The sequence below is a fragment of the Homo sapiens genome, chromosome 5 (genome assembly GCF_000001405.40).
Source record: "Homo sapiens chromosome 5, GRCh38.p14 Primary Assembly".
In the NCBI taxonomy this organism is placed as follows: domain Eukaryota; kingdom Metazoa; phylum Chordata; class Mammalia; order Primates; family Hominidae; genus Homo; species Homo sapiens.
Window position 1 is genome coordinate 71,386,742 of NC_000005.10, and position 12,430 is coordinate 71,399,171.

The following is a 12,430-nucleotide window of genomic DNA, read 5'->3' on the forward strand; positions in this document are numbered from 1 at the left end:
AATGCTGGTTTAGAAGGTGTGCTGATTTTGATGCATTTTTAAGACCCCCCTCCCATCCCGTGTGATGTTCCTACTCCACTCACTGATTTCCCATGTATTATCTAGGGTCTTAACCACATTGCTTGTTTTTCTATTAGAGTTTGGAACTGGGTCACCCATGCTCTGAGGCTCTATGAAACCCTGAAGGGAGAGGTAAACATATAAGCTCTGCAATCCAACTGCTTGGTTTTGTATTTTGGATTTGAAACTTAGTAACCATTTTCACCCAGAGGAAATTCCTTAAGCTCTGTAAGCCTCAGTTTCTTTATCTGTAAAGTGGGAGTTACAGTAGTATTATCTCTCACTGTATTTTTAAAGACCAAATGAGAAACTTGATGTAAATAGGAACCTAATGCCTGGTACATAGTGAAAGTTCAATATATACATTCATGAGTATTTTTAAGTAAAACATGTTCATTGCAACATTATTCACAGGGGCCAAGATATGAAATCAACCTAAATGTCTGCCAACAGATGACTGGATAAAGAAAAGATTATATATATATACATATATGTGTGTGTGTGTATATATATATATATACACACACACACACCCACACACAAACATATATATGTATATATCTGTGTATATGTGTATATATACACACATACATGCACAGATATATATGTATATATGTATATATGTATTACAGGCGTGAGCCATCTCGTCTGGCCAATTATCATTATTATTTTAGAAATTTATCAGTGATGCTTTTCTGTTCAGCTTTAATGAGGTGTAATGACAAAAAAATTGAATATATTTATGTATGCTGTACACTGTGATGTTTTGATATATGTATATATTATGAAATGATTACCACAATCAAGCTAGTTAACATATACATCACCTCTCGTAATTATCTCTTTGTGTAGTGAGAACATTTAAGACCTACTCTCTAAGCTGATTTCAATTATACAATATAGTATTACTAACTATAGTCACCATGCTCTACGTTAGGTCCCCAGAAATTACTTTTTCTGCATAATTGAAAATTTCTATCCCTTGACCAACATCTCTCCATTTCCCCAACCCCAGTTTACACACACACACACACATACATATACATATATAGTGTATATATACACATATACATATATACATATGTGTATATATATATGTGTACATATATATGTGTATATATACACTATATATGTATATGTGTAAAATTAGATGGGTGTGGTGGTGCCTGCCTGCAATCCCAGCTACTCAGGAGGCTGAGGCAGGAGAATCGCTTGAACCCGGGAGGCAGAGGTTGCAGTGTGCCGAGATCATGCCACTGCGCTCCAGCCTGGGCGACAGAGCAAGACTCCATCTCAAAAATAATAATAATAATATCAAAAATAAAATAAAAATTGCTTAGAAATTTCAAAATACAATACCTTCCACTGAACTTCCTTAATCCACATAGCACTGTATTTTTCTGTCTATTGCATTGCCACAAATTTAGCCACTTAACACAGATTTATTATTGCACAATTTCTGTTGGTCGGGAGCCTGCCACATTTTGGCCAAGTCCTCTTCTCAGGGTCTCATAAGGCTGTCAGGGTGCTGGCCAACTGCATCGTCATCTGGAGGCCTGACTACAAAAAGATCGGCTCAAAGGCCCCTCAGAGTGTTGGCAGCATTTGTTTCCTTGTGGTTGTAAGATTGAGGTCCCTCTTGCCTCACTATCTGTCAGCTGGGAGTGACCTCACCTCCTCCAGGCTGCTATCAGGTTATGCCACAGGCCCCTTCCGTTTCTGTAATAAAGAACTGCCCTCATATTGAATCCATATCACACCTCAGATTTATCTGATTTCCCTTCTGCTTTCAACTAGACAAACTCTCTGCTTATAGAAAGGCTCATGTGATTAAATTGTGCTCTATTTTAAGGTCAAGTGTGCTATGTAACATGACCAAATAATGAGAGTAAAATCTATTATAGTGACATGCCCTGGAATTATGTAGAAGCGAAACTATTGCTGGAGGGGTAATCTTTGGGGCCAACTTAGACTATTGATTATTCCATGTTCAAGGAGAGCTGGCATATAATTGGAGAGCTAAGAACCGTCAATATCTCAACATCTAAAAAAATAAAAATTGTAATTGTATTTAAAATGTTAGGAAACATAGTTAGAAATTTAGGGTTTTAAGCAGATATAAAGATCTTTTAATCATGCTACCACCTAATTACAATATTAGATAAAGAAGAACAATTAAGCCTAGTCTATATGTTAGAGAAATATAGTAATTTTTTCTGGAATGATTTATTATGTGCAGACTTTGGGTTATTGGAATAGATCATTGACCATATATGTTTTAAAGTACTTAAAAATATTTTATAAATAAAGTTATTTTTATACAGAACAGAAATAGTTGATATTGAATCAGAAATACTGTATTAGCATAAGTCATATGTTTAAGGAAATATATTCCTAAACAATAGGAAGAAACACAGGCAACACTGATGTAAAAAAGATTTACAGACATGAGCTGCATGCACTTGGTTTATGGACTAGAATTCTATGCCTTCTAGAAGCAGAAAATATGCAACGACTCATTCTGCCTTATGGCCATTTCAGAGCTTTTAATCTAATAAAACCTATATGTCAGCCAGTAGCATGTCAGGGTCTTATTACTCTGCTTCCTTAGAGTCTGATATGGGAGGTTAAGTCCCTGCACATATGTACCCCTTGGGGTTCCCTGAGGTGGAGCCGTGCAGGTTTGCTTCTTTGCTTACTGATATATATAAAAAAGATAACATTAAATATTCTATTCCTGTTTCACTTATGCGTTCACTAAGAATGATGAAAGTGGGAACTGTGTGGCATGGCCTAGGAATTGTGCATGAGCACACTCTATTTTACATGTCTCATCAGAAGTCAGTTTCTAACCTTCTTCTGTCTGTAGACAAGCATATCACCTAAGCTTTCTCAGAGATTAAAGGTATACCACCTAGCTTAAATGGCCCTACTAATGAAAGAGAGGTACACTTAAATTGCATCTTAATGAGAAAAAATATGAAAAGGAGAATTAATAGAGATTTCTCAAATAAAATCTAATGAGCATAATTTTTATTATTGAACAATGTTTGCCTATAAAGTCTTACTCAACTTGATGAAAAAATGCTAAGATACATGTTAAGGAGTCCTCATTTTAATACTTTATAAAATTGTATATACATATACTTAAGAAAGAAAAATAATGGCATATTTGCTGTCTTTAAATCATTGAGAAAAAAATAAAAGACTACATGTGTCATTTAATTTAGCTAAAGAAGGAAGGTGACTGAAAAATACAGTTTTTACATAAGATACTAAGTAGCTGGCTGGGTTTTGCTAATGTTCCCAAATTTGAAATCATTTTAAAAAGAACACTCCAATGAGCACCAGAGAACTGAGATGTTTTAAAATAAAATTATAACTGCACTTAATCTCACATTGTCTCCTTAGCCTTTTGACATTTTAATTGCTGTGCCATTTTTCACTGAGATGGCAAGCATTTTTTACATATGCATAATGTAGCCTGTGTTAATGCATATTGATTAAAGTAGACAGTGATGCGAGGATGTTGGAATTTTACCCACTGTGACCCTATTGAATGTTTCTCTCTGCTCTTTTTGTTTTCTTTATAACCAGAGGGGGAAGAAAAGCATGTATTTTCCAACAAGTCTCTATGCTATCTGAACTCTAGTATTAACAGGTGAAAAGTGACATGTTTAACAAAAGAAAGACTAGAAAGCATCTACATCACAAACTTGTAAGTCTTTCATTTCTGCATTGGAGACACTATAGGAAAATCAATAACTTCCTTTGAGTCTAGTGATCTAGCTGCTTACAAGAAATTTACATCTCCCTGACAGGCAGTTTGTAAGGTCTGGTTCACCTGGGTCACAGGAGTACACATAATTTGCATCTTGAGCAATTTCTCTCTTTCCTTCTACCTGTTCCATGAGGAAAGAAGATTGAACCTGGTCATAAAGAGAATCTCATTACGTCTCAGCTGAGAAGAGTAATTTTGTAGGTGTTCTTGGATTGCAAGAGTATCATATAATGATAATATTTTCTCATAGCTCTTCAGACCTATGCACACACCAGGAAATGAAAGTAACATACACCCAGGCACATTTGAAGCTTCTGAGCTGTCATTCACCAAATGAAATTTAAGTGTTCCATCAAAGTCATTTGCAAATATGACCTCAAGATGGATATCCAGATTCTTTGCTAACAAAAATATACAAGAAGATAGACATTTAGCTTACCTCTCATAAAATCTGAAAAAAAAATTCCCCTTCTATTTTATTTTGCCCTTCAAAATACACAAGATCTGAATGTCAAATAAATGTTTATATTATGATATGCTAATAATGCCTGGCATATATTTTCCTAGTTAGTTCTGTAAGCTCAGTTAAAAACAAATAAAAACCAAGGAGGCAATGCTGAAAACTTTTTGAATCAAAAATAGAATGCAATAGCATTTAATTATAATTAAGTCTTTAATATGCTTATTTAAATCTCACATACTTTTAAGCATGGGTCTATTTGCAAATTCATCTAAATAAATATTTGGCACGAAGTCTAAATCCACTTTATTCCAATGTTTTTTTTTCCGGGATAAAGATTATAATGAGATTCAAATGTAATAATTTTCATCCTGTATTCATGAAAATAATTGTCTAGGTGTAAATGAACGTATTATTACAATTCACTATGTGTACTCATACCTAGTCGTGAGGTCCTCATATATAAAATAGAGGGAGAGTACAACTTTAAAGTGTTTTATATATCCATTTCATATTTTTTCTCTTTGCAATTTGGGATGAATCTCCTTAGACAAATGGTTATGTTATTAACGCACCAACATTAACCTAGAAAAGGCTACTTAGTACTACTTAACTTGAATACTAATCACCCTGGCCTCAGTAGCCCACCATATCTTGCAAAGTATTCTGAAATAGTATTGGTGATAAACACCATTTGGAAAGGAAAAATGGCTGTATCTGTGTTTTTACATGCACACTCCCCTCATTATTTTTGCATATGATAAAATAGATAATATTTACTGAGCACTTATCACAAGTCAGTTGTCTTGTTAAGTGATGCAGAAGCATTTTCTATTAGTCCCCAGAAAACCACTGGGAGGTTGGTACAACACAGCTCCATTTTATCGAAGGATCCATTCATGAAGACCTTGTACTCACAAAATGAAAGATTAATTTCCCGCAGGAGCAAATAAAAAGCTGAATGGGGGTGTTCTTTAGAAATATCACGGTGGTAATTCAGCTTGATTTAGAATGAATTTCTAAACCTATCTCTGCTGCACTGTATTTGGTGGCTTGCTTCCCAATATTAGCCGTGTACACCTTACTTTTATATCATTATGACAGAATACACTTTTTCTTTGCATGATGACAATACATGTTTAAATAAAAGTCTATGCATCAGCAAAAGCACTCACAGGTGTTCTGATCCACTTGAACACCTGCTTGATTTACAATATGTTGACAAATTAGCTCAGGTCATCATTTATATTATCTAATGTACTAGTGCTACATACAAATAATAAAAACAAGAATTATAATGGTGTCCCTTCAGCTTTGAAATTCTGTGACTCTTCATAATAGCTTTGCATTATTTTAAAATTAGCATATAAAATAAAACTTCATTATTTAAAAATTTGAGCACAGTTAAATTGTTGGCATCGGTTCCTCTATGTTTTTGAATATACAGGTTCCTGAAAAGGTCCATAGTTTTAGCAGAGCAGACTTTACAGCAGTGGTGAATTTTGAGGGAGAAAACAGATGAGGACTGTCAATGTGCAAAACAAAGACCTAGTAAAAAATCAGCAGAAGAGAAAGAAACTATCAATGCACACCACTCAACAGCAAGGACAAAAGAGAGACAGGACAAGAGAGGATCTGTTGACAATGGTACACAAAGAAGGAAATAGAAAGAAAATACTGATTTTCAACTCTGGTTTAATATGGTGACTTCTTATCCAACTGCCTTAATGTTGAAAATGAATAGTTTTCTCCAAATTTCTTAAGATCATGAGGATATGCCTACACATTTTCATTAGAAAATGGTGCATGGGTAAAATTTTCTTTAATGTTTTGTAGTGTGGTAGCATGTTTTTCTGCCAGGTATATTAATAAAACCATATTATATTGCGTCTTTTCTGATCTATAATTATAGCTTACATGGTTCAGATGAATTTCCTCTCTGGCAGCTCTCTGACTTAATCGCTGCTGGTAAACACTATCACTCATTTTTTACCCACCAAATAAAATTTTTCATCTTGACGCATTTTGTCTGCATTGCACATATTTAAATACTCAACAACTACCACAGCAAAAACTCACTTCGGTGTTTACCTTGTAGACAAATGGCTTATCTATTTAGCTTAAATTCATAAACTTTGTTACAGCGTTATCAACTGGATGAGTTTAAATATACTGGAATCAGGTTTACCATGACATAATTTAGATAGTTTAATAGTTCATTAACAAGATATTAACAAGATCAAAATTATTACTCCTTACTGAAAAAGGCAGCTCTATATACAAGGACATAGTCAAGACAGTAGCAAAAAGGGTCTGTGTGTGTGCGCGCGTGCATGTACATGTGTGTGCCTGCGTGTGTATGATTCTTTAAGGTAATGTTAGAGACAACAAACGGTAATAGACGGAGTAAAAATAAAATATGTACCAGGCCAATGAAAGTTAGAAAAACTTCACCTATCTATTGCAATATACGTTGCTCTTCTGTTCTGGCTCAAACAGGTATGTGTTCCAGAAAGTTGCAAAACTCCTCAAAGACTCTTCAGTTCAATAGGGTATCCATCATCGGACCCATACAGTTGAGATTGAAAATAGATTCAGTCTGGCAGAAAAATGTCCACAGAAGGCTTTTCTCTTTTTTTTTTCTTTTTAGAGAAAAACAAGATAAAGCAAAACAAAATAAATTATTAACATGCTGCTTTGGATATGTTAGATGTGTTTCCCAAGGGACACTGTGGTATCTTCGTGGCTGGATATTTTCAGAACATCTCAGTGTATTTTCTTATTTACTGCCCTTGGTTCTCCTAGACTTTTGAACATTGAGTAGTCACATGAACGTTGTTTAGCAAAAGGAGGTGAACCAAGTAAATCATTCTCTGAGATAAAGAAGTCCATGGGAATTGGCCTTACCTCACAGAAACAAACCAAAATGAATTGTAATATTAATCTTAGTGCATTCAGGCTGCTATAACTAAAATAGCATATACTGGATAGCTTATAAACAACATAAATTTATATTTAACAGTTCTAGAGGCTGGGTAGTTTAAGATCAGGGTGCTGGCTGATTTAGTGTCCGGTGAGGGCCCCTTTCCTGCTTCGTAGGTCACACCTTTTGGCTGTGTCCTGTGTTCTCACATGGTGAAAGGGACCAAGGAGCTCAACTCCCTTGGGCCTATATTATAAGGGCACTAATCCTATTTATGAATGCTCCACCCTCATGACTAATCAGCTCCTAAAAGACCCTACCTCCAAATACCATCACCACAGGGGTTAGTTTTCAACATACAAGTTTGGGGGAAAAGCAAACATTTAGATCATGGCAATATTCAATATCAGAAGCAGAAGATGATTCATGCTAGAGGGTCCTCGACAACTGTGTTTGGGAAAGTCATGCATGGCTCTGCACGGAGTCTCTGCCTGGCCCTCATTTAACACTCATGACCCTTGGAATGCACACGCTCTGTGACCTTGCCCAAATCCTGAAGCTTTCATTCCATAATTTAAGGGGAAGATATAAAAGTGTATAGAATTCAGCTGTCATAGAAGCTTCACTATTCTCATCCTCTCTCTTCTCATTTCTTATATCTTAACTATGATTGCTAACCCCAGTGAGCTCTTTGTCAACACTATGTTATGGAGTTCCCCTAAACCTTTTTGTTTCACCTCTCCTCTTCGGTCCTGTGTTCTGAAAATTAAAGATAAAAATTTTAGATGATTTAAGAATCCTTATGAAAAAATGAGCTAACTCTGGAAATTTAAAATACTAAAACACTTAAAAGAGAATATCATATTGCAAGAATAATCAGAAACAACCTAAAGAAAAATATCTGGCTGGGCATGTTAGCTCACACCTGTAATCCCAGCACTTTGGAGGCTGTAATGGGAGGATCACTCAAGCTCAGGAGTTCGAGACCTGCTTGGACAACATAGCAAGACCCTGTCTGTATCATAATAATAATAATAATAATAATAATAATAAATTGCCAGACATGGTTGCACGTGCATGTAAGAGGCGGAGGTGGGAAGACTGGATGAGCTCAGGAGTTCAAGATTGCAGTGAGCTATAATTGTGCCATTGAATTCCAGCCTGGATGACAGAACGAGAACCTCTCAAAAGGAAGGAAGGAAAGAAGGAAAAAAGATGGGGAAGGAAGAAGAGAGAGAGGGAGGGGGGAAAAGAAAAAAATCCAAACACCTCAAGTGTGGTTAACTGCAGTTGGGAATTCACTTTATATTTGAGCTTTCTGAAATCTGAGATACTAGAGAAATATATATTTAAAAAATAACATGCATAATAACTTTATTACATTTATTTGTAAAGACTCATATGTTTATTATAGAATGGGGGATTAATCTTTCATTAAACTGGTCTTGTCGAAGTCACTACAACATTCAGTTCCCAGCCATGTCTGTATAATGACTTCTTATCAGTTTATGTTGCTTCAGCATCCATTTTGAATACTAGTATTGCTTTCTCATACTAGAAGCAGGGCTCAGTCACCCTTTACACAGTTTTTCATCCTACAGCATACCCAAAGGGCTGAAACTGGTGGTCATATATAAAAATTTAGAGGCATCTCTTCTGCCTAGCAGACTGAACACTGCTTTCTTGCCCCTTTCTTTAAAGGGACCATTCAGTCATTTGCTCTGAACTTTGAAGGCCCACACCCTAATCTTTATACAGTGTGCTAGTTGCCACCCGTTTCTCTCTCTTTGTCTGACTCTTCATTTCTGCCTGCCATGACTCCAGGATAAAGAACTGCCCTCCAGACTCATTATACCCTCCCACACACCCTTACTTGGATCCTGGAGTCTGCAAGGAAAAGTCCTTGAACTTGTTCCTTATTTTGGTGTTACATTAAATTTGCACTTTCCATCTGAAGAATCAGGAGCTGCCTCAGGTTGGGTTTTCCCTGGAACACTGGGGAGAATAAAAGGTCAAGCTCCCAATGCCAAAGTGTTGACCAGGCAGGCATAAACCAGACACAGGTCAGACAAGAATCACAGGTGGCTTGCCAGTGTAAGTTTTCCCTGGTCGCAGGTATGATGTGTTTATTTTTAAAAATAACATCATGCATATATTAAGTTTATTTGTAATAAACTTACAAATAAAGTTTGTATACACCCACATCCAACTCCTCATCATTTGCCCTTAGTGCAGGTTTGTCAGCTGCTCTAGTACTGGACCCATAATTTAGCTGGGGCTCTGACATCATGGAATATTTTATTTTCCCTTACCTAGCTCTCAATACACCCTATAATGCAGGCTATTCCTCCGCAGTCTCTTTTGTTGGTTCTTCCTCTTCCCTCTGACTTTTTTTTTTTTTGAGACAGAGTCTCGCTCTTTCGCCCAGGCAGGACTGCAGTGGCGCGATCTCTGCTCACTGCAAGCTCCGCCTCCCGGGTTCATGCCATTCTCCTGCCTCAGCCTCCTGAGTAGCTGGGACTACAGGCGCCCCCCACCGCTCCCGGCTAATTTTTTGTATTTTTAGTAGAGACGGGGTTTCACCATCTCCATCTCCTGACCTCGTGATCCGCCCACCTCGGCCTCTCGAAGTGCTGGGATTACAGGCGTGAGCCACCGCGCCCGGCCCCCACTGACGTTTTAATGTTGCATCTCAAGGTTCAGTCTTCGGCCCTCGTTTATCCTGTTTATATACATTTGGTTGGACTTCTCGTCCAATGTCAGGACTTTCGATATCCTCAATATGATGACAACTTCCAAATACATATTTCCAGCCCAGACTCCCTCCATTCCTGTATATTGCATGGACATAACACAAAGAATCATGTATCAATATTTACCACTTGGATGTCTAAAATGCATCTCAAACTTGGCATGCACAAAACTGCACCTTCAATCCATGAACTCACACACACCCATCTATTTGTAGTCTTACCCACTTCAGTTGACATTCACAACCATTCAGACCAAAATTTTTTAAGTTGTTCTTGAATTTTCTTTTTATTTTACATGCTACACCCATGCCATGGGTAGAATACTGCCCCAAATATTCATAATTTGAACATTTCCACCATCTTTGTTAGAATTATCCTGACATGAGACACCATTGTCTCTTGCCTGAAGTATTGCCATTTGTAACAACACCCAGGATCACACTGTCAATGAGATTCCCAAGAATTAGAAATTTGATCCAGTACTGAGCTTATTAATAATTTCAAGGGTACATATAAATGCATAATACAGGTGAAGCAGGAAGAATTCCATGACAACCAGTATGACTCCCTAGGTCATTTTTTCATCTCACCGTTATGTCTTTCAAGTAATAGATGAGACTTCTAATAAAGTACATGGTCACCTCACTTACAAAGAAAAAGCCATTTAGATTATAGAACATCACAATTTCATACTCATATAGTTACATAATTCACATTATGTTAATCAGGAAGTATGTCCCATGAATCTGTAGATTCCAGGTTTATTTACCAGAAGCAATTACAGAAGAAGCAAGTACATCCTGCCCAAAACTTTTCATAGTAAATACTCTCCTCCTAGTGTTACCAGGGGTCCTTGCTCCCAGAGCTCCCAAGATGGTGGTGGGCCACTTCCAAAATGGCGGCAGGCCACTTCCAAGATGGTGGCAAGCCTCATGTTCTCTGACTTGGGGTTCTTGGCCTCAAGATTCCAAGGAATGGAATCTTGGGCCATGCAGTGAGTGTTATAGCTCTATTAGAAGTCGTGGGTCACAGAAGAGAACTGTGGAACCCAGTGACTAGTGTTCAGCTCAATTAGGACGAACCCAAGCACTTAGCTGTGCAGGAACAATGGCAAGACTTTAACCCGATGGGGAGCGACAGTGGGCGCCTCGCTGAATCAGGAGCACAGCAGGCACCCTGCTGGATCCTGAGGGATGGAAGTCAGCGGAGGGTCCCTAACGGCGGCAAAACAGCAGTGGTGGACAGCGAGTGAAAGCTCAGCTCAAGCCGTAACAAACACGGACCAGAAGAGTGCAGTTGCAAGATTTAATAGAGTGAAATAGAGTGAAAACAGAGCTCCTATACAAGGAGGGGACCCCAAGGGGGTTGCCTTTGCCTGCTCAAATGCCTGGGTTTATATCCCGATCCTTGTCCCTCCCACTGTGCTCTCAGGCAATAGATGATTGGCTATTTCTTTACCTCCTGTTTTTGCCAAATTAGCATTTAGTGAGCTCTCTGATTGGACAGCTGTGAGCTCAGTTGCAAGCCCCGTGTTTAAAGGTGGATGTGGTCACCTTCCCAGCTAGGCTTAGGGATTCTTAGTCAGCCTAGGAAATCCAGCTAGTCTTGTCTCTCACTAGCACAAACCATGTAGTTTAATTGCCAGGAGGTCTGTCATTAAACATGACAATGTTTAATAGGAGATTAGACTTCTCACTGAATGTGTTTGTTTCCCAGGAGCACTGCCTTGCGAAAGGGAATTAATTCATCATTTCATCGCAGACCTGCTGTGTAAACATTTTCATCTCACCGCATAACAATGTCTCTGCTTTCACTTTGGCCCCGACATTCTATTCTGAACACAGCAGCCAAAGGGGCTGGTTAAAATGTTGGTCTGATCATGTCATTCCTTTGCTCATCACCGTGCAACTAATCCACATTTCATTCAGGCTAAGAGTCAAACTCCTGACAATGGCCCCGAAAGCCCCACGTGATCAGTTCTTGTTACTTCTCTGAGTTCATCCTCTGTTAATCTCCCTTCACTTTCTCCATGACAGGCACACTAGCCTCGTAGATGTTCTGTGGATTTGTTAGGTGTGTTCCTGCTGTGCTTTTCATAGATACACACAGTGACAATTCCTTTACCTCTTCTAAATCTTTTCTGAACTCTTACTTTTTCAGTGGGTGAATGTTTGATGACCCTATTTAAAATTGCAAATATCCAGCCTCCCAACACACATACACATACACATACACATACACATACACACACACGCACACACACACACACGCACACACACACACACATTCCAAGCATTTGTGGTCAACACTCTGTGTTTCACTTGTTTTTTCCTTATGTCAGAGGCCTTTGAACCACAGCAACTCCATCTTGAGTAGGGGCTGGGTAAAATAAGGCCGAGACCTACTGGGCTGCATCCCCAGATAGTTAGGCATTCTAAGTCACAGGATGAGAT

At 38.0% G+C, this 12,430-nt stretch overlaps 1 long non-coding RNA gene across 2 annotated transcripts in view, besides 1 other annotated feature; it reads right to left on the reverse strand.

Moving 5' to 3' along the window:
- The window catches only part of LINC02197 (long intergenic non-protein coding RNA 2197), a 125,726-nt gene that overhangs the window by 65,711 nt on the left and 47,585 nt on the right, over nucleotides 1-12,430 (reverse strand). The window lies entirely within an intron of this gene.
- Nucleotides 11,517-12,148: an enhancer, noted in NCBI's record as "OCT4-NANOG hESC enhancer chr5:70694085-70694716 (GRCh37/hg19 assembly coordinates)". NCBI's record gives its function as "activates a minimal SCP1, AML or CMV promoter by ChIP-STARR-seq in naive H9 embryonic stem cells {active_cell/tissue: H9 hESC(naive)}" and the evidence as "EXISTENCE:reporter gene assay evidence [ECO:0000049][PMID:30033119]".